The sequence below is a fragment of the Homo sapiens genome, chromosome 20 (genome assembly GCF_000001405.40).
Source record: "Homo sapiens chromosome 20, GRCh38.p14 Primary Assembly".
In the NCBI taxonomy this organism is placed as follows: Eukaryota; Metazoa; Chordata; class Mammalia; order Primates; family Hominidae; genus Homo; species Homo sapiens.
This window is the reverse complement of record NC_000020.11, coordinates 17,811,622-17,838,805: the sequence shown is the minus strand read 5'-3', so window position 1 is coordinate 17,838,805 and position 27,184 is coordinate 17,811,622. Positions and strand designations below refer to the sequence as shown.

At 47.4% G+C, this 27,184-nt stretch overlaps 1 long non-coding RNA gene across 5 annotated transcripts in view, besides 1 other annotated feature; it reads left to right on the top strand.

The window, feature by feature from the left end:
* LOC107985440 (uncharacterized) overlaps positions 1 to 25,031 on the top strand; it is a 36,616-nt gene extending 11,585 nt beyond the window's left edge. The window contains exons 1-5 of one of the 5 annotated variants that reach the window (XR_001754512.1): positions 6,488 to 7,012; positions 7,621 to 7,782; positions 9,027 to 9,136; positions 12,259 to 12,351; positions 22,373 to 23,145. This is a non-coding gene — a long non-coding RNA (uncharacterized LOC107985440). Of the gene's footprint in view, positions 1 to 5,412; positions 5,492 to 6,487; positions 7,013 to 7,620; positions 7,783 to 9,026; positions 9,137 to 12,258; positions 12,352 to 22,372 lie in introns of those variants that run through there. The other 4 variants (XR_001754509.1, XR_001754508.1, XR_001754510.1 and 1 more) reach the window with 4 other exon arrangements.
* Positions 3,079 to 3,656: an enhancer, noted in NCBI's record as "H3K27ac-H3K4me1 hESC enhancer chr20:17815795-17816372 (GRCh37/hg19 assembly coordinates)". NCBI's record gives its function as "activates a minimal SCP1, AML or CMV promoter by ChIP-STARR-seq in primed H9 embryonic stem cells {active_cell/tissue: H9 hESC(primed)}" and the evidence as "EXISTENCE:reporter gene assay evidence [ECO:0000049][PMID:30033119]".
* Positions 25,032 to 27,184: the final 2,153 nt, after the last annotated feature.

Genomic DNA, 27,184 nt, shown 5'->3' with positions numbered 1-27,184 from the left:
AGCAGGTTGGGGTAGAGAGGAATCCAAGCCAGGGGTGATCACAGGCGACATCCTACAGATGACGGCTTTTCAGCCTGATCCTGAGGGGGAGCTCTGAGTGCAGGGGACACTTCAGTTAATCTTAACCCAAGGCAAGGGAGCTGGACTTTCAAATTCTTGTGCCCATTAGTCATTGGACAAGGATTGCAGGTGTGGGAGGAGAATGCAAATTTCTAGGCACCTTGGGCTCTCTGTCCCTCCAAGCAAGGTGAAGGGAGCCCTCTGAAGAAGATCCCCAGGAAATGCTGCTTATAAGCTGTGGTCAGATGTCTTTGGGCCTCACTTTCCTTATACATAAAATGTGAATAGGCCGGGCGCAGTGGCTCACACCTGTAATCCCAGCACTTTGGGAGGCTGAGGCAGGTGGATCACGAGATCAGGAGTTCAAGACCAGCCTGGTCAACATAGTGAAACCCAGTCTCTACTGAAAATACAAAAAATTAGCCAGGTATGGTGACGGGCACCTATAATCCTAGCTATTTGGGAGGCTGAGGCAGGAGAATCGCTTGAACCTGGGAGGCGGAGATTGCAGTGAGCTGAGATCGCGCCATTGCCCTCCAGCCTGGGTGACAGTGCCAGACTCCGTCTGAAAAAAAAAAAAAAAAGTGAATAATCCCATTACCTGCATCATAAGGATGTGGACATGTTAACTTTATATATATATAAATTGATTAGGCTTTTGAAACCTTGCCTTACAACTCAAAAACCATTAGACATTTAGTAAATGAAGCATTAATGTGATCTCCCTTAGATGTGTTGATTTTAAACCAATATTTATGTCAAGCACCTAGCATCGTGCCTGATAAGCCACTGATATTTTAAAATACTCTTATGTTAGGCCGGGCACAGTGGCTCACACCTGTAATCTCAGCACTTTGGGAGGCCAAGGCGGGCGAATCACTTGAGATCAGGAGTTCAAGACTAGCCTGGCCAACATGGCAAAACCCCATTTCTACTAAAAATACAAAAAATTAGCTGGGTGTAGTGGTGGGCACCTTAGTCCCAGTTACTTGGGAGGCTGAGGCAGGAGAATTGCTTGAACCCGGGAGGTGGAGGTTGCAGCAAGCTGAGATCGTACCACTGCACTCCAGGCTGGGCGACAGTGAGACTCTGTCTCAAAAAAAAAACAAAAAAAACAAAAAACCAACCAAACAAAAAACAACTATTATGTACTATTATGTTAGAGTTATCATTGAGGAAGGCAGGTGAAAAGTGGAATGGTAAGAAACAGGTTATACCATGAGGTAAGTCAGGTGCATACTGCAGGAAGTGAAAGCCCTTCGGAGCTGGAGGGGTCACGGAAACAAAAAAGGGAGGAAGGGATTTGGGGGATGGGTAGAGTGCTGACAATGCCTGCTCCTGGCTGGGGTACATGTGTCAGTTCTCACCCATAAAGGAGGACTCAAACTCCAGCCCTCAGCCCCAACTCTACCCACAGACATGTTTTGCTTGGCCCACAGTGTACTACTGACTGCTCAATACCGTAAAGCTTCTGAATTAGTTGCCAATGTTTAAATCTCAGGTAATTTTTAAATAAAAATCCAGATCCCTGGCTCCTCTTGAAAAATCATAGTTGTTATCAGAGGCCCACATAGCCACACGGCCACAGTTGCAAGATGCCACAGAGTCCGCCCAACCTGAGCAATTTTACCTGGCGGCCTTGATGCCACAGGCCCCACCACTCTCTATTTGTCCCAAGCACACGCACTATAATTATTCTTATAGGAGAACTAAGGGGAAAGAGAAATCTTTTTTTTTTTTTTGTGCCTACCTCTCTAAAATGGAGAAAATCTCTACAGCCCTAGGATGGTTAATGTGGATATGAGATGTGACTGTATCTGAAGAATACGGCACAAGGTGCCATTGGCAAGCAAGCCCCTGAGCTGCTGCCGCTGGGCCCCTCTAGGTTTGTGTGTTTGTCTCTCCTGCTGTGAGCTGTACGTTCCCACCAGACTCTGGCTTTCCCACCAAGATCCAGCTGTGCTGCTCCGCTTCCCCCTCCCTAGCCCATTTTGTGAAAAGCAGCTGTTTTTCCCTTTCCAGCTCTCCAAGTGCTGATTTCATCTCTTTCCCGACAAAAGTTTGAAGCCAGGAGGGAAATGGTTTGGCAGAAAGTCAGATTGCAGTGGGAGCAAGAAGACTACGTGGAGGAGGCCGATGCCGGGTAGCGGTCCAGGATGAGGGGTCTGGACGCGGCTCTGCAGACTCCATGAGACAAGAAGCCCCAGGAATCTAGGCGGGGCATAGGGCTCTGTGGAATTCACTCCTCTGAGCTGTTTTCAGCAACTTTAGCTAGGGGTGATGTCAAAGAGTTCCATTTCTCAATAGCTTTTCTGGAAGAGGGGTGGAGACAGCCATGGGGAAACCATGATGAGACACCAGGGCTCACCGGGGCTGACCACCCCTCAACTCAGTGCTACAGTTCGACTTTTGAGCACTTACATTGTGTGTGGACTGTGCTGGGGATGGAAGGAGGCTCGAGAGAACATGAGATGGTTAGGAGGTGAATAAGGACTGAAAACGGGTCACCAAGGCAACCAGGCTCAAAACTCATGGCACTGGGGAGGGACAGCCAGGTCAGGAGGAGCCAGAACTGCCCACCCCGGTACCGTGTGCGGTCCCACTTCCCGGGGGGGTCACACATTGTCCCCACTACCACCCCCGGCCTTATTAAAATCACCCTTCCCTCCCAATCAAGCTGAGCCAACATCTCTGACTGAGTCTGGAAAAATTCCTTTCTCCTTAACTAGGCCAAAAAAAGGTTGAACATTTCCCAAAGGAACACTGAGGCACAAAGGGAAACCCCAGTCACGGAGAAACCGGTGAGTTTACAGAGTGCAGATTTCTGAGCCCAGTGTGACCAAACGTCCCACGGAAACCATGGAAGGTCGCCTTGATGGGCATGGGAAGAGGTGGCTGTTCCTTGGAATTCCTTGACTCAGCTGGGCCTGAGGTGGAGGCCAGCAAATGCCAGCAAACTGTGGATGTGGCCGGGGCGGGGGCGGGAAGGGCTCTGCTTCCAGCCTGGTGGGTGCCTCAGTGCTTCTCAGGGACTGGGCCCAGGTCTTTGTCTGGGAAGGGGCTCTCCATGCACCTGCCAGGCCCTCCAGCCAGGCCCCCTCAACATCCCCCTGGCCTCCTTGAATGTTGTCCCGGCTCTGCCCCCTTTCATGAGGAAAGCCTTGAATTTTCTCCTCACTCTTCTGGAAGTCACTGGCTCCTTGGCTCAGGGTGTCCCCCACCCTGACCCCATCTCGCTCTGACCGTCTGGTTGTCCTAAAGCATGTTCACAGGGTTTCAGGCTGGCTCTGCCTTGGAGCTGCCATGTTCCACTGGGTCCTCCGATGAGTCAGCACAGATTCCCGCGGGCTGTTTCCAAACGTGAATCACTGTTGGAGTCCCTTTGGCATTTGGCTCCTGAATCGAGGAACTAACCTTATCCTTAGGGAAGCCACAGCCGACCTACCCAAGTGTAATAACTATAGAAATGTTATTTTTAAAAATAGGTAATACATGTGCATGTTAATGCAATCAAACACGAACATAAGTGGCCTCTCTCCCTGCCTCCATTTCCCCCCTGCAGAGGCAACCAGTGCCCTGTGCGTTTTCCAGAGACATTTTATGCAAGCAAGAGCATATATGTATGTTAATATATTTTGAAGATAATTTCATATCAGCACATAAAGTACTGCTTCATTTAAAAAAAATGGTTGCTAGTATTCCCTTGCAGGATGGTACATTTATTTAGCCAATTTCCTATTGCCAAGCACTTGGGTTGCTTCCAATGTTGCTATCTCAGAGAGCTTTGTCACTAGATTGTTTGGCATGTGTGCCCATGTGTCTGCAGGATAAATCCCAGAAGTGGGATTGCTTAGCCAAAAGATATGTTCATTTTAAATTTTTATAAATATTGTCAAAATGCCCTCTAGGGTAATAGTACTTACTGATTTTTTACTCCCGGTAATAATATTTGAGAATGTCTGTCTCTCTATACTCTCATCAACACACAGTGCTATGAAACTTTTTGCCAGTCTGTTAGCTAAAAGCAATTGGTATACAATCATAATTATAATTTTTGCTTTTAATACTAGTGTGGTCAAGCATCTTCTCCTATGTTTAAAAGTCAGTTGTGGGGCTGGGCAAGGTGGCTCACTCCTGTAATCCCAGCACTTTGAGAGGCCCAGGTGGGTAGATCACCTGAGGTCAAGAGTTCGAGACCAGCCTGGCCAACATGATGAAACCCGTCTCTACTAAAATACAAAAATTAGCCGGGTGTGGTGGCATGCACCTCTAATTCCAGCTACTCGGGAGGCTGAGGGAGGAGAATTGCTTGAGCCCAGGAGGCGGAGGTTGCAGCGAGCCAAGATTGCACCATTGCCCTCCAGCCTGGGCAACAGAGTGAGACTCAGTCTCAAAAAAAAAAAAAAGGTCAGTTGTGGGTCCATTTCTATGAGCTTTGCTCTATCCTTTGCCATTTCTTTCTTATTGATTCTAAAAGTGCTTTATATATTAAGGAAATTAGCCTTTGCCAACTGCATGTGTTGTAAACACTTTTTTTGCTTTGTTGGTTGTGCTTCGACTTTTATTTGACATTTGAATTACATTTTTTTATATAATCAAATTTATTATTATTTTTTAAAATGTGTTCCAGATTTTGTGTTATGTTAAGAAAGATCTTTCTCACTCTGAGGTTATTTTTTTAAAAGTATTCTATTTTTAATGCTTTTATGGTTTTAGTTTGAGGGATTAAATTTCTGATCCATCTGGAATTTATGTTGGTGTGAGGAATAAGGTGGGGATTTAGCTTTAATTTTTCCCAGATGACCACTTGGTTGTCCCATTCAATTGGGATCTTTTATTTGTTTGTTTGTTTTGAGATGGAGTCTCACTCTGTTGCCCAGGCTGGAGTGCAGTGGTGTGATCTCAGCTCACTGTGACCTCCACCTCCCGGGTTCAAGCGATTCTCCTGCCTCACCCTCCCAAGTAGCTGGGATTACAGGCATGTGCCACCACATCCGGCTAATTTTTGTATTTTTAGTAAAGATGGGATTTCACCATGTTGGTCAGGCTGCTCTTGAACTCTTGGCCTCAAGTGATTCGCTTGCCTAGGCCTCCTAAAGTGCTGGGATTACAAGCGTGAGCCACTGCACCTGGCTGAATTGGGATCTTTTGAATAATCGCTTTTCTCCACTGATGTAAATTTTGAAGTGGATGCTCCGTAAATGTTTCCTTGGCATGTACAGTCATGTGTCCCTTTAATGGGGGATTATGTTCTGGGAAATGCATTATTAGGCAATTTCCTTGTTGTGTGAACGTCACAGAGTGACTTACACAAACCTAGATTGTACAGCCTGCTACACACCTAGGCTATGTGGTGTAGTCTGTTGCTCCCAGGTTACAAACTTGCACAGTACGTCTTTGTCCTGAATACTGCAAGCAGTTGTAACACAATGTAAGTGTTTTTGTATCTACACAGAGAAAAGGTACCGTGAGAATATGGTATAAAAGATAAAAAGTGTCCACTTCTATGGAGCACTTACCATGAATGGAGCTTGCAGGACTGGAAGTTGCTCTGGGTGAGTCAGTGAGTGAGTGGTGAGTGAATGTGAAGGCCTCGGACATTACTGTACACTACTGTAGACTTCAGAAACACTGTACACTGAGGCTAATTTAGAAAATACGTTTTTCTTTTGTCAATAATAAATTAACCTTAGCTTACTGTAACTTTTTCATTTTATAAACTTTTTAATTTGTTTTAACTTTTTGACTCTTTTGTAATAACCCTTACCTTAAAACACAAGCACATTCGTACAGCTGTACAAAAGTACTTTCTTTACATCCTTATTCTATGAGTTTTTTCTGTTTTTAATTTTTTTAACTGTTTGAACTTTTTTGTTAAAAACAAAGACAAAAACGCACACATTAGCCTAGGTCTACGGTCAGGGTTGTCAGTATCACTGTCTTCCACCTCCACATCTTGTCCCACTGGAAGGGCTTCCAGCGCAGTAACATGCATGGAGCTGTCATCTCCTAGGATAACAATGCCTTCCTTCTTCTGGAACACCTCCCAAAGGACCTGCCTGAGGCTGTTTTACAATTAACTTTTTTTTTTTTAATTAGTAGAAGGTACATGCTCTAAAATAATGATTAAAATTATAGCAAATACATAAACCAGTAACATAGTAGTTTATTAATCATTATCAAGTATCATGCACAGCACATACAGTATTTATATGTGCTAGACTTTTATATGACTAGCAGTGCAGTAGGTTTGTTTACACCAGCATCCCCACAAACACACAAGTGATGCATTGTACGACATGATGACAGCTATGACGTCACCAGGCAACGGGAATTTTTTTTTTTTTTTTTCTAGACAGGGTCTCGCCCTGTTGCTCAGGCTGGAGTGCAGGGATGCAAACATGGCTGACTGCAGCCTCAACTTCCTTGGCAGGAATTTTTCAGCTCCATGGTCATCTTATGGGACCACCATAGTGTATGCAGCGCCTGATGGTATTTAGAAGGGAGGCGGAGAGGAGTGAAACGGCTGGATGCGCCTTTGCCTCAGCATTATCTTCTCAGGTGGTTCAGTTCAGAATCCAAACTTGGAAACTCTACTCAGAAAAGGAAAGGCCCTCCAGTTACAGAGTCCTTCTCTCCCCAGAAGGCAGCCTAGTGATGCTTGGTACTGCTCCGCCCCGTCTTCATCCCCACAGTTGGACAAAGTGCTCCTTCCAATCTCTGGGGAGTGTGATTTGCTCCATCTTGTCATATTTCCAGGTTGCTGCCCTGGTCAGCTTCCTGGCTGGGCTACCACCTGTGGGGCACCCGCTGGGGGCTCCGATCTGCACCATGTATAAGAGTAAGAGGCTTCGTCTCGTTTAATCATCAGCGCACTCCTCCTTCTACCCCATCTCAGGGTTGAGGAAGACAGGCTTGGAGAGGTTCAGCCTTCCCAAGTCCCAGTCTGCAGGTAACAAGTGTAGAATTTGAACCAGCTCTCAACTCCAGAGCCTGAACTCTTGGCTCCCTAGGGATGCTGTCATCAGAAACCAGAACCTGCACGTGTCTCAGATGCTCCGGCAGCACTAAGAGCAGTCGGGTGGCCTGAGAGGGTGGGATCAAGAGCATTGTCAGTGTCCCCCATTCTCATTGCATCTCATGGCTCCCCTGGAAGCCATGGCTGCGTGCACACCCACTGCAGGCCCTATCAGCCAACCAGAACACCACTCCCTGGGCCACTGTCTTCCTTTGGGTTCTTAGGAGCACCGTCAAAATGCTCCTTTCCCGAGACCCATGCCCACATGGCACACTCGATGTCGGGCACCTACAGATGTAATGAGTTCTAGTTTTCATTATCTCCAGTTCTAAGAGTAAAGGCAACACAGTGGCCAGTCCAGGCTCTGATTCCCGGGTGAGGCCGGCTGCTGCTGCACGTGATGGGAGCAGCGCCATTGGAACCCATGTGATCCAGACCGCCAGCCCTCACCCTAGCCCCCAGCCCCAGTGCGGGAAATGCTCTTTATAACATTCACTCTTTAAAGGCCACCTGGATCATTGTTTTCTTTTTCTAAATCTCAGCTTATTCAAAGAAAAATGACTTTAGCTTGGCATGTGAGAAAGGTCAGGACATTACACTGTTGGAAATGTCTATATGCTTGAAAAGAACCGAGAGTCCTCTGAATACGTAGCTCCCCCAGCGTCTTCACAGTGGGGTGTTTCACCCATTTCGTGGAGTCCAAAGTAAGTGATTTTTACATCCTGTCATCCGTAGGGGTGGGGATAGATCACCCAGCCACCAGGCTAAATGGGAGAGATTTGTTTATTCTTAAAATATGAAGAGTTGCCGTGGTCCTGGAATCTGTCAACAGTCAGATTCTTTTTTTCCAATCATAAACAATTGTTTAAAAAGTGTTTTTATTTTATGTTCATCTTAATTTTCCCAGACTTTTCATCTTGAAAAATTTTAAGCCATAGAAAACTTGCAAGAATAATAACTATGAAATTTACCAGCAGTTAATATTTTGCCACATTTGCTATATCTCTATATAAACATATTCATTGGTCAAAAAAAAAATCAGTATCTTTCCTTCCCTTCTCTCCTCTCCCCTATCACTTTTCTTCTCTTTCTTTTTTAATTTCCTTTCTTCTTTCTCTTTCTCTCCCTACCCCACCTTCTTTCTTTCCTTTTTTATCATTTCCCTCTCTTTTTATTTATTTATATTTTTAGAGATAGGGTCTCACTGTTTCCCAGGCTGGAGTATGGTGGCATGATCATAGCTCACTGCAACCTTGAACTCCTGGCTCAAGCGATCCTCCTGCCTCAGGCTCCTGAGTAGCCGGGACTACAGATGTGCACTACCACAGCTGGCTAATTTTTTTATTCTTTATAGAGATGGGGTCTCACTATGTTGCCTATGCTGGTCTCAAACTCCTGGCCTCAAGCAATCGCCCTGTCTTGGCTTCCCAAAGCACTGGGATGACACATGTGAGCCACTGCACCAGGCCTTTTTGTTTCTTTCTATATTTGAGAATAGTTGCGGAGATATCTTGAGATTTTATCCAGATATTTCCACATGTCTTTTCTAAGATAGTGAGCATTTTCTCACATAAGAATGAAACCATGACCACCCTCAATGAATTTAATGTAGATACAAGCCTGGTCTCTTTACATGGCCCATGTCCAAATGTTGCAAGTTGTCCTTGTCATGTCCATGTCCCTTTTTATCCAGTCAAGACCCGCCTCCCTCCATTGTGCCTCCGCTCAAGCTCCTCTCACCTGGAGCCACCTTTGGGCCTGTCTTGTCTTTCATGACCCTGATATTTCAAAGCATTCAGTCATTTGTTTGACAGACCGTGCCTCAATTTGGATTTGACTAATTGCTCTTCAGGAAGAGATTCGGGCTTGTATTAGTCAGTTTTCTGTTGCTATAACTGAATATCTGAGACTGGGTAATTTGTAAAGAAATGAAATTTATTTCTTACAGTTCTGGAACTGGGAAGTTCAAGGCTGAGGAGCTGCATCTGGTGAGGGTCTTCTTGCTGGTGGCCTTCTTCTGCAGAGTCCTGAGGTGCTGCAGGGGATCTTGTGGCAGAGGTAGGAGCAAGAGTCAAGCTGGCTTTTTAATGACCGACCGCCATGATAACCCAAGAACCTATTAATACACGAATGGCCCTCATGATCCAGTCCCTTTTTAAAGGCCCCACCTCTCAATGCTGCCATATTAGGAATTAAGTTTTAAGATGAATTTCAAAGGAGACAAACCTTCAAACCATAGCAAAGTCAAGCTTTTTTGAAGGGACAAGATTAATCATAATTTTTATTCTATTTGTGTGCATGTGTGTCCTTTTTAGAGATGGGTCTCACTCTGTCCTCTAGGCTGGAGTGCAGTGGCTCAATCATAGTTCACTGCAGCCTTGAACTCCTGGGCTCAAGTGATCCTCTTACTTCAGCCTCCTGAGTACCTAGGACTACAGATGTGTGCCAATGCACTCAGCTAATTGTTTTCTATTTTTTTAGAGGTGGGGTCTCACTATGTTGCCCAGGCTAGTTTTGAACTCCTGGCCTCAAGCAATCCTCCCATCTCAGCCTCCCAAAGCAGTGGAATTACAGAAGTGAGCCACCATGCCTGGCAAAGAAGGTGTACGAACATACACACACTGGAGTCTTTCTTCTTCTCTTGCCCCTCAGTGGGTGACCCAGTTCCCATCCTGGCAGGCAAATCACATTCCCAGTGTCTGTCTCCTTCCACAGATGATACAAGGGGAGTGTTTAATGGTGTCTCCTGCATCTGTAGCTGGATAGTTTGATCAGTGGGTGTGTCTGATTGTGTCACTCTCTTGCCTAGAAACCGTGGAAGGGTCTTGGAAGGCCAACTAAGATCTTGCTTGGCCCACAGGATCTAGTGCTCTGGCCCGGCCCACCTCACAGCCTCACCTGGTTCTACTCTCTGGCTTGGAGAGACCCCACCACGATGGCCTCCCTCCAGCCTCCGCACAGACCCTTGGATGTGCCATTCCCTCTCTCTGGAAGGCTTTTGCTCCCTTACCCCATCAGCTACTCATCATCCTGCATGTCTTGGCTCCCAGCCCCTTTTCCTCTGGGAAGTGGTCGCCAAATCCCAGGCAGGGTCCTATCACCTGGTAACACCCCTCTCAGGGACAGTGTATTCGCTGTCTGCTCCAGGAGGGAGGAACCTCTTCTAATGTGGGCACCAAGCGCCGTGCCTGGTGCATAATTGGCTGTCAGTAAACATTTGTGGAGAGAGCAAATGCACTCATGAATCCCTCACATCACAGAAGGCGGGGCCAGAGCCAGGGTGGAGGTGGGAGTAGAGGAACTCCGGGGCTGGCTGCTGAGGAAGGTTCTCTCTGATGGTGCAGCAATAGCAGGTCAAGCCCAGGGTCAAGATAAGGAGCCAAACGTCCCAAAGGTCGTAGGTGGTCAGCGATGGGGCCAGCTGGATGTTGCCAGTGGGTAACACTCCTGCTCTGCCAGGTCTGAGGCTCAGAGTTCCCAAAGGAGCAAGCAAGTTCCTAGGAGAGGAAGAGGAGAACCAGACTAGGTATCCGGTCAGGAACAAGGGACCCAACAAAATGAGGTGGGAGACTTGGGGCTGAGGTGCGGGCGGTTGCTCCGGATAATGACAGAATGGATGTGCAGAGGCCTGGCCATCAGCCAGGGTCCTGCACTGGAGATGTCCCATGGAGAAGGCAGGGCCGAGGCCCAGCAAGGCTAATACAATTCTCTCTCCAATGTCTGGAGCCAGCTTAGGCCACAGAAGGTATAGACCATGACATTGACCCAGCTAAGTCCTACAGTGTCCGTTGGGCCAGGAAAGGTTGTTTAAGGGATGAACAGGACAATCTCTGCAAACAAAAAAGTCTCACATTTTTGGCCTAAGGCCAGAGGGAAAAGCAAAGTTCACCAACAACAGCCCCATGATCCCTCTCCACCTTCCACCTGAAGTGAGAGGCAGGGTGAAGCCCAGCAAAGCTTTCTGCACTGTGTGACTGCAGGGGGCAAAGGATATTCATGGAGAAAAGAAAGAAAAACCCCAACAGGGATTTTCTTCAGTGCATGGAACTGGTTTTGTTTTATTTTGTTTTTTAGAGTTTCCTGCAACTTTCTATTTTTTTTCTATACATGAATGCCAATTATTTTTACACTTTTACCAAAGACAAAACCCTTTTCAAGGATTCTGTACGCATCCCCTGAGAGTACTGGTTCTAAACCTTGACTACATGTTAAAATCACCTAGGGAACTTTAAATACGCCAATGCCTGGGTCCCACCGCGAGGTGATTCAGATTTTAGTGCTTGGCAGTGTGGCCTGCCCAGGTGATTATAATGTGCAGATTGAGAGCCACTGCCCTAAAATGAGTATGCACTAGAGAGGTCGAATAAAAGATATGCTCTTACCAAGCACCCATATCCAGGAAGGCCATGTTCAGTTGTATGAGCTGCGTACTGCATACCTCCAGGGGACACCATTTGCATAGCCTATAACATAAAAGTGCCTCCCTGGAGTTATGCAATGTGGCAGCCTTGTAAGTATGGATATATAAATTACATATTCATAGATACATAATTTAAACATTGATTGCATCTGTTCACTATAATTCTCAGTGGGAGGGATGGAAATGATGTTCAGTAGGATATACAGAGTATTTTGGAAGACTTAGTTTATATTGTCTGGGATTTTAAAATTTGGTGAATCATTCTCCAAGAAGATGATTATAAATTTAAAAAAATAAATAAATAATAAAATCTGATGAAGGTTAAGATAACAATAAAAACACCGAAAGCCAAGGTGACCATGTCAATCTAGAACCATGGGTTGCACGGGACAGAGAAGACTGAGAGAGAGGATGCATCTGAGAGGGCTGGGACGTGTGCAGAAGCACAAGTTTGGATGGGAAGTCTCCAGCAGGCAGTCCGTGGAGGTGTGGCTGGTGGCAGAATTGTTGGAGCAATGGGAGCATCCTGTGGAGTATTTTCCCTCTGCCATGAAGCATTCCTGTTTCTGCCACTGCTATCATTCAGAGATTGAATCTAATTCCCTGCTCTTGGACCTGAGGTGACCTTTGACTTCTTTTAATGAGTAGAATGCAGTGCAAGTGATGCTATATAAGTATAATGGTTTCAGTCATTTTCAGCTTCTGCCTTTACTTCTTTAATGGCTCCTTCTTGGACCCTCACTGCCATTCTGTGAGGAAGCCCAGGCAGCCAAGTGGAGAGGCCCACACAGAGGAACCAAGGCTGCCAGTCAACAGCTCCGCAGATCCCCAGCCAGTAGCCCGGTGGAGCCATGTGAGTGAGGCAATTCTGTAACCTTCCAGCCATCCCAGGGTCCCAGCTAACACTAGGCAAAGCAAAGGAAACACCCGGTCAACCCACAGAATGGAGAGAAATGATACATTTTTGTCGTTTTGAGTCACCAAGTTTCAGAGTATTTTGTGACTCAGAAATAGGTGGCTGAAGCAGGGCCACTTCTGCTCTGCAGGTGGGCACAGGCCAGTCTGCTGGAAGGGTATGTGTGTTGAACTGGCTCTGAGGCCTTGTGAGGTTAGACGTGCTGGAAGATCCTAATAGGGAAAGGTTTCTTTACAAAAATTATACTTATCAAAGTTATATATATACACACACAGACACATATGTGTGTGCGTGTGTGTGTGTGTGTGTTATATAGTGGCAACAACTCAGTTACATCAGAAAGGCTTACAATGAAAAGCAATCGTGTCTCTCCTGCTGTACTTGCCCCTGTTCACTCCCAGTCCTACTCCCCCAAGACAGCATCTTTTGCCAGTTGCTGTTTATGGATTTTCTCCACACTCCAAATCACATACTTATACCTCCGTTCCTCAGTTACCATCTTTAGACAACAGCTATTCACTCCCCAATACCTAAGATGAGCATTTAGCTCACTACTCCCAATGTCTGAACTTTCATGACTATTTTTGACTCCTGCATGAGCATTTCCTCTTCTGACAGCAGTCGCTGATTCCCAGCTCTGTAAGATGAGGACATCAGTGCCCCTCCCTTTCTTTCTGCTTTTCTCTTCCCTTCTTCAATCACTCGTGTTTTGTGCCTCTGCTTCTACCACTTCATAGCACTGTGGTGTTTAATCTCGGGTGCCTGGGCTTCCTGGGAGAGCAGCCATGAATTCCTTAAAATTAAGTGTAAAATTGTGTGTGTGTATTTATGATCCATTTCCTGGGGAGAGTCCAGAGCTTTCATCAGACACTCCCAGAGGGGTCAAGCTCGGGTGCTGTATGGGACTCTGTACTGAGGTCTTCCGTCCGCCACCAGAGCCACCCTCATCCTTCTTCAGACTTCCGGCTGGGTGTGGCCAATGGGGGGCCCGGGCAGGAGTAGCAGGAAGGGGACGAGGAGAGTGAGGAAAGGCATTTGCTTATTCCTGTGGCTCCGTCTCTGCTGGGTCATCTCGGGCTGGTTGAGTCTCAGCTGAAGGACCTTACTCCGCCAACGGTTGCCTTTTCCACGTAGCTATCTCCTTTGGTAAAGGCTTAATTGTTCCTAGCCCCAGGTCACTGCATTTTTCTTGGTGGTCTTATACACCCTGCCCATACCTTTGTAAACAGTCCTTTTAATAAGTCATCTGGAATTCTCTTAATTTGATTGTGACATTTGTTTCCTGTTGGGACTCTGTAATGACCATGTTCCTCGGACACAAACTCTGAGACAGAGGTTATATGCAGGAAGTTTTCGGACAGTGCTCTTGGGCAGAGGGAGGAGTTGAACTGCGATGTTGTCACCATGAGGGCTGGAGCTGGCCCTGTGGGAGATCTGAAGCTGGGATAGTCTTTGGAGTTATTCCAGTCCAGGCAAGGGGGCCCAAATGACCAGACATTGGATGCCAGGAGGGGACATAAGCTTGGTCAAAGTGGGTCTCTTCAGGTGAGGGCAGTTCTCAGGAAGGGCCCCCTGGCAGCAGGGACAGCCTGGCCTCTAGGGCAAGGAGAGCCTGGGTCTCAAAGCGGGAGGGGTTGGGGGTTATGGGGAGGCCCCTGGAATGCACTGCAGACCCAACCTTGGTCTGGTCGCTAGGCCGGGCCTTTTGTTCGCTGCATCCTGACACCTAGCACAGTGTCCCACACAGTGTAGGAGCTCAGCCAATATTTGTTGAATGAATGACTGAATGGAGTAACAACAAGCTTCTTTAATTGATTAAAATTCATAAAACTCAGAGCGCTTATGTATCGCTGCTTTTTTCAATTTTTATTTTTTAACTTTTTGTTTTGAAATACTTTCACACTTAGAAAAAAACTTATAAAAATGAGACAAAAATCATCCAGGTTTCCCAACTTGTAACATTTGCCTCTCTCTCTTATATATGTGTGTATATACACGTATTCACATATATATACGCAAACTGTTATTAATTTCTGAAACACTTTAGAAAGTTGGAGACCTCCTGCCCCTTTATCGTTAAATATTTCAGCATCTATCTCCTAAACATGAAGACATCTTCTTACACACCTGCGGTGCAATTTATCAAATTCAAGAGATAGAACACTGACTCATAGCTACTATCTGATGTACAGTCCCTTATAGAAACTCCCTCCCCACGTCAAGGATTTGATCCCGGATTACACCCTGCCCTCCACTGTCTTGTCTCTTGGTCTTTTTCCTTTGTCCTTCATGGCCCTGGCATTTTAAAGGACCCATTGTTTCAGGAAATGCTCTCAAGTTCAGGTCTGTCTGTTTCCTTATGATCAGATGAAGGCTGTGCCATTGGCAGGAACCACTCTTCATCTCCAAACCTAGTGGGTTCAAAGTTCACTGCGTCTCTCTTCCCTGTACTCTCCTCAGGGAGGAGCCACTATACCCAGTTTCTATTCTTAGGTCCAAGGGTGAAATCACCTACTCAAGGTCGCACACTTAATGACTGAGCTAAGTCCAGGTACCCTTAGCTGCCGCTCAGCATCTTTTTCACCACACCTGGTAAAAGAAGGGACTTCCACAAACACTTCCCCTCTCCCTTGGCCTCTGGAGGAGGCACCCACTTCCTAACCCAGCCCTTCGTTGTGCTAACTGGGGTAATGGGCTACCTTGATTTTCAAAATAAAGCCTCTAGAGCTGCTCTCAGAAGGGAAACCTCTGGAAGAGGGCTTGTAGGAGGGGGAGGAGGGAGAAGGGGGAGTGAGACAGGACGCTGGCAGGGCGGAGAGTTTGAGGGTGAGAGGGAGGGCTGGGTGAGCCCCTGCCCTGTGGCGTGGGCTTTGGAGACAGAGACGGACAGAAGGACTCTGTAAGAAGTTTGCAGTGGGCAGCGTTGGGTTTGGCACATGGCTCCCGACCCCCAACTCTTTCCTCTCCTCCTATGTTTGCCTGCTCAAGAGACTTGAGAAAAAAAAAGGTTTTCAGGGCTTTGGGAGAGGTCTGTGTTTATTCAAAGGCCACTGTGTTTAGATGGGCCCCAGCATGGCCCAGTTATATCCTGGTTACATATGAATGGCGGTGATTTCATTTGGATCAAGGATAAGAGATATGTTTGTGTAATAAACACTTAGAGATGAAACAGGTTGTCCTGGCAGGGTTCCCCAAGGGACTTTTCTAGAGCCGGGGTCGTCAGGGTTGTTGAGTTGGAAAAGACCCCAGAAAGAGCTCTTCTTTATTTCCCTCCAGTTATTTCCCTCCAGTTATTTCGTGAGTGCAAGTTTTGTGTCCCCAGACAGGCTGAACCTTCCAAGGCGCAAGCGTTAGGCCCTGTGAGCCCTCGTTCTGCCACATACTGCCTGTTGAAGTCTCTCACCTCTTTGGGCCTCAGCTCCTTCACCTATGAAATGGGCTTATAAATAGCGACTCTCAGACAGGATGTGCATGGATTAAATGGGATGCTGCCTCCCGACGCACTAGATGGGCTGTAGAGCATGGCACGTGTGTAAGGAACACACGTGTCATTCAGGACAGTGCCAGGGGGTTGGTGGAATACTACAGGACAGAGGAACAAAGCACTGATCTGCCAGCCCCAGGCATCTCAAGTTCAAACTCACCGTGAGCTTTCCCTGTCCTGGCTTCCCCTTGTCACAGTGGAGACGGGCCCAAGAGGGACCTGAGGCCTGAGGGGGTCTGTGCGGTGGCTGCAGGGGGCTGCTTACTGGAAAGAAGGCCTTGGGGAAGTCCCTAGCTTCCAGATTCTCCCCAGGAGCTGCCACTGGAAACCTTTGTCTGGAGACCAAAACTTTTCAAGACTTGACCATGAAGATTTCTGATTTCCCTGGAGAACAGCTCCTCCGAGCAAATCATCCCCTATCCTGGCTTTCAGCCTCGCAGCCCACACCTTTGACATCTCCACGGTAGAGCCAATCTATGCAGCTGGGCCCACTCTCCTCTGCTCCATCGGCAGTCCCACCTCCTTGTCTCCTTTCAGGGGGTCCCACTTTCCAAGTTCACCCCACTTCCAATGCACCTTCCAGATCATGTCAATCCCTGCTCAAAAGCCTTCTGACGCCCTCCGTAGTAAATGTTTTTTAGGTTTGGCCTAAAGCTGCATCTTGTAAGTTAGGCCTAAAGGTTTCTCCAGACACAGTGAACTGTAACCTAGCTGGATGTGTAAACAGACTGTAACCTACTCTTGTGCCAATCACCCAGCTTCAACCAATCACAAGTGGCCAACTGTTAAGTAAGACAAACTCCCAGTTGTAACCGGTCCGGCTGTTTCTGTACCACATTTCCTTCTTCTGGCTGCAGCTTTCTTTTTTCTGTCCATAAATCCTCTCTGACCACGTAGCAGCACTGGAGTCTCTCTGAACCTATTCTGGTTTGGGGGCTGCCCAATTCAAGAATTCTTCCTTGCTCAATTAAACTTTGTTAAATGTGTCTAAAGTTTTTCTTTTAACCATGTTAACCCCCCAGCTTTGCTCTCAAGTCCCTTCATCATTAGAGCCCACCTCACCTTTTCCAGCAAGATCTTTTTTTTTCCCCCTCTGTCGCCCAGGCTGGAGTGCAGTGGCAAGATCTCAGCTCACTGCAACCTCTGCCTCTTGGTTCAAGTGATTCTCCTGCCTCAGCCTCCTGAGTAGCTGAGATTACAGGTGCCCGCCACGATGCCCAGCTGATTTTTTGTATTTTTAGTAGACCTGGGTTTTGCCATGTTGGCCAGTCTGGTCTAGAACTCCTGGCCTCAAGTGATTTGCTTGCCTTGGCCTCCCACAGCGCTGGGATTACAGGCATGAGCCACGGCACCTGGCTTTCTACCCAGATCTTTAACCATCCTTCATGTGCTGTCCACTACAAACCCTGCCCCTCGATGTTCTTTGGTATACCTTGGGTTTTCCTGCCTCTGGGTCTTTTTTCTTTTCTTTTCTTTTCTTTTCTTTTCTTTTCTTTTTTTTTTTTTTTTTTTGAGATGGAGTCTTGCTCTGTTGCCCAGGCTGGAGTGCAGTGGTGCAATCTCGGTTCACTACAACCTCTGCCTCCCGGGTTCAAGCAATTCTCCTGCCTCAGCCTCCCAAGTAGCTGGGACTACAGGCGCCTGCCACCACGCCCGGCCAATTTTTTGTATTTTTAGTAGAGACAAGATTTCACCGTGTTAGCCAGGATGGTCTCAATCTCCTGACCTCGTGATCCGCCCGTGTTGGCCTCCCAAAGTGCTGGGATTACAGGCGTGAGCCACCGCACCTGGCCCCCTTTAGATCTTTTTTAATGCTGTTCCTCCTGCTTGGAATGTCCTCCTTCAGTAATTTCTACCCATTCTCCAAGCCTCATCCCGAATGCCTCCTCCCCGTCATCCTACCCCCAACTGGACCCACTCTTTCCTGCAGTTTATGCTTGGCATTCACCAGACCCTGCCTTGTTTCCATCTTTGGAACAAGCACGCATCAGCTTGCAAGAGCCAGTTTTGGGAATCTCTTCTCAACTCTGGGTTCATCGAAGTCATTTTGGCAGTTTGAAATCAGTCCTGGTTTACTTATGCCAGGGAAATCAGCAAATGTTACAAGTCGGGGTCCTCCCATCCCCCAGAAAGCTGGCTACCAGCACAGCACTGCTTATCTTCCTATTCCCTGGGCTGGATGCGAGCTTCATGAGGGAGGGCGGGGCATCTCTGAAAGCCCATGTGTCTCCCACCAACAGCTCTTGACAGGCACCGCACTCAACAGGAACTTTAAGCTGAAGTTTAACTCGTGTGATGCAAGGGTCCCTGAAACTGGACGTGAGATGGGTAAGGTAGTGGAGTCATGAGAGAGGGGAGAGGCTCTGAACATTAAAAGTACCAAAAACTCACCCTTTTCTATTCCGGGTGTCAAAGACCACCAAGGACCCCACCACTCTTGTGGCCTCCCATTTTTTACCTTCCATGTTTGAAAAATGACAATAGTTAATACTTCCTGGATGCTGTGGTAGGTTAAAGATGGCCACACATTCTTTGCTACTCTTCTTGTTGGGATGTGGGGTCTGTGTCCCTTCTTGCTGAATTTGGAGAGGCTCTGTGGGCACTTGGCCAGTAGAAAATGGTGGAAGTGCTGCCATACTAGTTTCTGGGCCAGGCCTTAGGTGTCTGTGTCTGGCAGCTTCCACTTCCACTGCTGGGACTCCTGCTCTGGGAGCTTTGACCTTTGTAAGAAGTTTGACTACCCTGGGCTGGTCATCCTGAAGAGGCCACGTGTGGGTACTCTGATCAATATCCCAGCTAAGATCAGCCTTCCAGCTGTCCCCACCAATGCACCAGACATGTAAGTGAAGCTCCTTCAAACCAGCCAACTTACCTTCTAGACACAAAGGGACTGTCCTAGAGCCATGAGGAGCAGAACAGTTGCCCAACCCAGCCCTGCCCAGATTCCCAATCCATAAAATTGTGAGAGATAGTAGAATGGGGGTTGTCTTGGATCACTAAGCCTTGGAGTCATTTGTTACACAGCAGTGCTTACTTAACTTACTATGTTTCAGACACTGGGCTGGGCATTTTAGTTGCTTTATTCCAATTAATCTTTACACCATCTTCATGGAGCAAGCCTTATTATCATCTCCTTTTTACAGATGAGGCAATTGAGGCTTAGAGAGGTTGAGTGCTATGGAATGAATTGTGTCTCCCCCAGAATATGTATGCTGGAGCCCTCACCCCCAAATGTGGCTATATTTAGAGGTAGGGTCTTTAAAGAAGTAATTAAGGTTAAATGAGTCATAGATCATAAGGGTGGGGCCCTAATCTGATATGATTAGTGTCCTTAGAAGAAGAGGAAAAGAGCAGAAGTTCATATGCACAGAGAAAAGGCCATGAAGACAGTAAGAAGGCAAGCCAAAGGTGTAGGATAAACCAGCCCTGCTGACAACTTGATCTTGAACTTCCAGCCTCCAGATGAGAATACATTTCTGTTTAAGCCACCCAGTCCGTGATGTTTGTGACGGCAGCCTGAGCAGACTCACACACTGAGAGCATCCCAAGGTCATACCAATACAGCCCTAGACCCTCACAAGTAGGGGGCCCTACCCCGCACCCAGTACTGTAGAGGGCCCTTCTCTGGCCCTCCTCTGGCCTTGCCCCTCCCCACAGACTGAGGAGTCTGGTTGCTGTGGGATCATGTCTACTCAGGGCCTGAGACCTTCTGGGCCATATTTCATGTACCTGGGGCCCTGGAATTTTTTTTTTTTTTTTTTTAAGATACAGTCTTGTTCTGTTGCGTGCGCTGGAGTGCAGTGGTGTGATCATAGCTCACTTCAGCCTTGACCTCCTGGGCTCAAGTGATCCTCCCACTTCAACCTCCTGAGTAGCTGGGACCACAGGCACATGCCACCATGCCCAGCTAATTTAAAAAAAATTTTTTTATAGAGATAATGTCCCGTTATGTTGCCCAGGCTGGTCTGGAACTCCTGGGCTAAAGTAGTCCTCCCGCCTTGGCCTCACAAAGTTCTGGGATTATAGTCAGGAGCCACCATGCCCAGCCCAACCCTGGATTTTCTGCCCAAATGGTTAGGAGCCTCCTCCCAGGACCCATGTTGGTCTTGTTTCTAGGTGTGTCCCCCCAAAAGTGACCTGAGACTAGAGCAGGTAGGTGCAGGAGCTATCAAGTGGTAGCTCTTCGTGGACATGTGGATGGGACTTGGATTTCAGGCTGAGTATCTGTGTGCATGCACACAAGACCCCCTGCAATGCCAGACAGAATTGTTGTGGGACAGGTAAGAGGCCAGGCCATGGCCAGGGTGAACTCTTCTTAGACTGCCACACTCTGGAGTAGAACCGTGCAGAGCCCTAGAATCCTGAACTCAAATCCAGCCTCATGGGTCATATATGTCAAAGTAGGAGCATGGAACATATTTTATTGAACAGTTTGTTTGCTTGATTTATAGTGTTTAAATACTCAGACATATGGCACATGGGCCGCCATTTGGACCCGTGAGCTAGGCCTGCCTGCACAGCTGCCGTGACTGAGCCAGGGCCGGAGCCCAGGGCCACCACACGGGATCCCTCCAAGCTTATTGCCCAGAGAAGGGTAGAGATAGTGGGGCGGATGGGCTAAGAGGAGATGCAAATACTAGTGCTTTTAAGTCCACTATTAGCCAGGTGTGGTGGTGCACACCTGTAGTCCCAGCTACTTGGGAGGCTGAAGCAGGAGGATCACTTGAGTCCAGGAGTTCCAGGCTACAGTGAGCTATGATTGCACCACTGCAGAGTGAGACCCTGTCTCAAAACAAAAAATAAAAATTAAAAAATAAGAGTTCTGCTACCAGTGCTGTAGTATCTCAAACTCATTTCTAACTTGGACCAAAGACAAATGGCTGCAGAGCCTGGAGACCACTAGGATGCTGGATTTAGGGACTCCAGCTGCTCATGGGACCATCCAGGTGGGAGACAGCGTGGCTTCAGGGCCCCCTCCTGACCCCCTTCATGACGAGCCACTGACAGGCTGAGACAAGTGACAGGAGGAGGAGATGAGATGCCTGTCTTGGGTACATCTGTGGCTTTCTCTGATCCAAGAACCACATCTCACACCGCAGGCTGCAGCTTCAAGTCCATGCCTGGGGGATCTGTTTGCCCCCTTGCTGGCTGGCTAAGGGTGTGGATGGCACTGACTGGGGCACAGGCCAGGAGGCTGGATATTGGTGGGTGCTTCCCTGGGAGGCATGTGTCTCCCAGTCAAATAATAAATGCAAAAGATATTTGGTTAAAGTGTAAAGAATCAAAGAAAGAGAGAAACTCTGGGGATAGGAAATTCTTTTCAAAATCAGTGGGGTTTTGATTTTTGTTTTCAGGTGGGGGCTGTGGATTTAGAGCCCAGGGTTTCCCTTGCCTTCTGGGGACAATGTGGCAGGAGCCTGGTCCTCTCAGACTGTTGCCTCTCTGGCCAGAGATCATGTTTCCTGAGATGGGCTTGGGATGGCTTTTTCCTCTTCATAGGAAATGCTGGGCACATGAGGTAACCGCGTCTGGGCAAGAAAGAATGTGTGGCGTCGCCAGGGCATCATCCCACCAGGAGGTTGGGGAAAGGGCCTGTTGCTTGCCCATTTGTTTGTGGACAGGGCCTCCTTGGGGAGCGGAGAATGGGGCATTTGTGAGCACTTTGGGGTTCATTCTTCCTGATTTTCTGGTCATTGTGAGTGTCCAATTAGACGTGGGGCCTGGGGCCCTTTCTAATTCAGAGGGGGTGGTTCAGCTGGATTAGCCTGGAGAAGACCAATCCCACGTTGGCTTAGCTGTGGAGACCCTGGTTTGTGCCTGGAGGAGGGCAGAGACCGGCAGGATGCTGGGGAGACCTGCTGGCACCGCAGCCAAGAGCGGCAGAGAGCAGTGCTGGACTTCTGACTCTCGGCCTTGGAGGGAAGCCTCTGTTAGACCCCAGCTGGGCAGGGCAGGGCCACGCATTTCAGCAGGGCAAATCCTGTTTCCTGCAGGGGAGCTGGGGTGTCCCTTACTGCCATCACTTGACTTCCATTTGGGTTGGGTGGGCCAGTGGAGGCAGGACTTCACCCTACTGTGATCGCACAGGAATTCTGTAGGATTTTCCACTCTTTTTCCTATGGGCGTCACAGAGCCCACCAAGGGTGGGTTGGGGATTTCAGCTTCAGCCTCTTAGGGGCCTGGGGTGGTATATATGGGGCAGCTGCTTGGAGGTAAGAGTTCTGCTCCCAGCCGGCTTTCCAGCGAGCCATTTGGAGGTCGAGTCAAGTGACTTGGGGGCAAGAGTTTGGAGGAGTGTCAAGATGACACCCTGAGAATACAGTGACTATCTTGCCATTGTTGGAGAGGCCAGCTTTGGTTTGAGAAGCCCAGACAGGATGAGTCTATTTCCACAGTACTTGCCATCTCCACCAGCACCTTCCCCTTCTCCTCCCTTCAGTTTTCAGCCATTTATGGAGGTCATTTGTTTTCCAGTACTGCTGTGACAAACCACCACAAACCGTGTGGCCAACAACACAGAAATTCATCCTCTCATGGCTCTGGGGGCCAGAAGTCCAATGTCAAGGTGTCAGGTAGGCCGTGCCCCTCCACAAGCTCCGGGGAGGATCTCCCCTTTTCTCTTCCGGCTTCTAGTGGCCCCGGGTGCTCCTTGGCTTGTGGCTGCATCAGTCTGTTCTCTGCCTCCATCTTCCCAAGCCCTCTCTCCTCTCACTTATGAGTCTCTCCTCTGCGTATCTCTAATGAGGACATTTATTGCTAGATTTAGGGCCCACCTGGATAATCCAAGATGATCTCATCCTGGCACCCTTCACTGAATTATATCTGCAGAGTCCTTGTTTTGCAAATAGGGTCACACTCACAGGTTCTGGGCTTTAGAACATGAACATATCCCTTGTGTTTGGGAAGGGAGCACTATTCAGCCCTTTCTGGAGGGTTCTTATGAACAGGTACCTGGCAATGTCCTCAGATGCTCAGTGAGGACGCACCTGAGGTTCCAGTCCTGACAGCAAAGGTGACCGCCCTGGACCTCAGTCAGCTCATCTGCAGAATGGCTAGGTGAGCTCAAGGGTTTCTTCCTTCTGGCACATTCCCAGCGCAAATCCTGTCGGTCCCTCGGCATCTATGCTGCTGATTTGGGTCTACTCCAGGGCTTTACAAATATACATATCTCTAAGCATAGAACATATATTTTATTGTAGTAAAATACACATAACATAAAATTCACCATTTTAACCTTTTTGTTTTGTTTTGAGCCAGGGTCTCTCTCTGTCACCCAGGCTGGAGTGCAGTGGCACCATCACGGCTCACTGCAGCCTCCACCCGCCTCAGCCTCCTGAGTAGTCAGGACCACAGGTATGCATCACCACACCCAGCTAACTCTTGTATTTTTTTTTGTAGAGATGAAGTCTCATTATGTTGCCCAGGCTGGTCTCAAACTCCTGGGCTCAAGCAATCCACCTGCCTCAGCTTCCCGAAGTGGGATTACAGGTGTGAGCCACCGTGCCTGGCCCCACTTTAACCATTTTTAAGTGTGGAATTCAGTGGCATTAAGCACACTCATATGGTTGTGTAACCATCACCATTATCCATATCATCTTTCACAAAGATGAAATAAGAAGACTCATTCTCAGGCCCCTCGGGCCTCAGAGTGTCCTTCATGGGTAAAGCATCTTATAGAAGATGCCTCTACTACAGAGCTCACTATCCTGGTGGAGATGTGAAGATCAGGATGTTAGAAAAGGAGGCAGACAGGACTGAGGATGGTGGTGAATCCAAAGCAATACCCCCGGCTCCTCCTCCTGCAGGATCTGCCCTGTCTTGTCACCATGTCTTCTCCTTGCTGTCCACCCGTGTTCTTTTTTCCCCTCTAGACCAGAAGTTCTTAAAGCCTGGTCCCTGGACCAGCAACATCAGTACCTCCTGGGAGCTTGTTAGAAAAGCAGATTTTCTGTGCTCACCCCTACCCACTGAATCAGAAATGAGGGTGAGGTGTGGTGGCTGTTTCACAGCCCTCCCGGGATTCTGATCCATGCTAAAGAGTGGGAAGCACTGCTCCGGATCTGCAGAGAAATCCTGCTTTCAAAGAACTCACTAACGCCCCTACAAAACTACAATTTTTATGACTAGAAGCTCTGTGAATACCTTAAACAAGGAAGCTGACAGATTTAGTAAGATCGCGTAGGTCATGATCGCAAATGGGCTGCCCAAGGGCACGTCTTTCCCTTGGGTTTGTGCATTTGTCCTGCACACAATTAAAAACATTTAACTAGTTGCCAGTATTAAAGAAATAGAAACTTCCACGTAGAAATTCAGATTTTGGCATTATTTGAAATAATACTGTCTGGCAGTCCTGATATGTCTTGGCCTAGGTCCAAGCATGGGCCACCATGACTCGATGCAGGGACTGCCAGGCAGCCCAAGTCCCCCTACGCCCCAAGGCAAGTCCGCCTGGTGAGCCCACCCCCCCATTTTTATCTGCACTGACTGCTGTAGGGCTTTCGAGTTGTCAACCTCTGTATGTGAAGGGGGACCACAAACTGTAGCCCTCTGTGATTGTTAATGTTATATGTCAGCTTGGCTAGGCCACGGCATCCAAATATTTGGTCAAACACTAGTCTAGATGTTGTGAAGGTAATTTCTTTTAGGTGAGAGTAACAGTTATATCAGTGGACTTTGATGAAAGCAGATTGCCCTCCATAATGTGGGTGGGCCTCATCCAATCAGTTGAAGGCCTTCAAAGAAAAAAGACTGACTCCCTGCAGGAAGAGGGAGTTCTGCCAGCCTCCACGGTCACATAAGCCAATTCCTTAAAATAAGCCCCTCTCTCTCTCTCTCTCCTCCTCTCTCCACACATGCATACAAAACACACACACACACACACACACACACACACACACACACAAATGGTTCTATGTCTCTGTAGAATCCTGACGAACAACCCATGCTGTGAGTATTATTATTTGTTGGTGACCCTGGACCATTCAGGCACCAAGAGGTGCAGGAACTCTTCTTCCGTTTGCTGGCAGCTCTTAGGGATACACGCTCATTCAAACCATGCCCTCAGAGATGGAGGCTGCAAAGCTAATGAGTAGTATTATAATATTAATAACAAGAAATAAATAATCCATAAAAATAATTATGTTTATTTATTTATTTATTTATTTTTGAGATGGAGTTTTACTCTTGTTGCCCAGGCTGAAGTAAAATGGTGCAATCTCGGCTCACTGCAACCTCCGCCTCCCAGGTTCAAGTGATTCTCCTGCCTCAGACTCCCGAGTAGCTGGGATTATAGGCATGCGCCACCACGCCCGGCTAATTTTGTATTTTTAGTAGAGATGGGATTTCTCCATGTTGGTCAGGTTGGTCTCGAATTGCTGACCTCAGGTGATCCGCCTGCCTTGGCCTCCCAAAGTGCTGGGATTATAGCCATGAGCCACCGTGCCTGGCCAACAATGATGTTTATTAACAATAACACTATTAACATGTTGAGTGTTTATTCTATGCCAGACACCATGCTAAATGCTTTCTTTCTTTCTTTTTGAGATGGAATCTTGTTCTGTCGCCCAGGCTGGAGTGCAATGGCGCAATCTCGGCTCACTGCAAACTCCACCTCCCAGGTTCAAGCGATTCTCCTGCCTCAGCCTCCTGAGTAGCTAGGATTACAGGTGCCTGCCACCACGTCCAGCTATTTTTGTATTTTTAGTAGAGATGGGGTTTCACCATGTTGGCCAGGCTGGTCTCAAACTCCTGACCTTGGGTGATCCGCCTGCCTTGGCCTCCCAAAATGCTGGGATTACAGGCATGAACCACTGCACATGGCCAAGGCTTTTTTTAAATTAAATTAAATTTAATCCTTGGAGTAGCCTATGGCACAGGTACTATCATCACTAAACCTATTTTACTGATGGAACAGTCACAGAGAGGAAGTAACTTGGTCAAGGTCACCTAGCTCATGAGTGGCAACAAGATTTGAACCCAGAGCCAGACTTCAGGGCTCATGTTCATTAACCACTTAACCATGCTGCCATGCTAGAGTGTGTACTTCACCCTGAGTTTCCCAAATGACGGCGTGCAATAGAATCAATTCTCTGGGGGTAAAGAAATCTGAGAACTTGCATTGTGATTCAGGCAGTCCTTGGACTTCAGCTTGCCATGTGTAGCTGCACTAGTTGTGCACCATATAATTGTACTCAGTGGTACCAATGCAAATACTGTTGTAGGCAATGGAGAGAAAGATAGCTGATGTTCCTCACCTGTCCTGGAGGTGAGAGAGGTGCTGGTATAGTCACACAATGGAACACTTTACAGCAATAAAAAAGAACAAACAATACACGCAACATTATGGATGAATGAATCTAAAAAATTTATTGAGAAAGAAGGCACCAAACAGTATATATTATATTAGTCCATTTATAGTGGAGAAACCTGGTAGGTACCAAGTTAGCCACATGATCAGGTTAACATCATTAGTAACAAGACACATTAACGTAGTGAGCTCTTTGATATAAGGACATACACCATTTTAATGGTATTCTTGCCAAAAATGCATACTCTCACTCCAATCATGAGAAAACATTGAACAAACCCAAACTGAGGGATATTCTACAAAATTACTGACCAGTACTCCTCAAAAGTGTCAAAGTCATTAGAGACAAGAAAAGACTGAGGAACTGTCACAGACCACAGGAGACAAAGAAAAAATAACAATGAATGCAGTATGGGATCACGAATAAAATTCTGCAACAGAAAAAGGGCATTTTCAGAAAAATTGGTAAAATTTAAGTAAGGCCTGCTATTTAGTTAACTAACATTAACTTCAATTCACCGGTGATAATTTTCTTGTAATCATGCTGTGGTTATGTCAGATGCTAGGGGAAGCAGGCTGAAGAATATAAGGGAACTCTCTGTACTATTTTTTGCAGCATTTCTCTAAATCTAAAATTAAACTAATTTAAAATTAAAAGTTAAAAGCCAAAACAACACAATAAGCCAGGCAACGAGCTACCTGGCTCCATTTCCTCTGTGCTCAGTGGACCCTGGAAAGGAGGGAGCAGGGTCTGGGGCCAGGCAGGTAAACACAGGTAGGACTTGCTTCTCTGATCAGACCTAGCCCCTTTCCCAGACACCAAGCAACTCACCTGACTCTTCCAGCTCAAAGACAGTCCGTGCTGTCAGCCAGCTGCCTCCCACGGGCCACCAGTGCCACCACACTGAAGGAACCATGGAGCCACCTGGAAAAGTCAACCGAGAATTAGACATAACAATTTGGTTCTGCAAGGAGAGGAA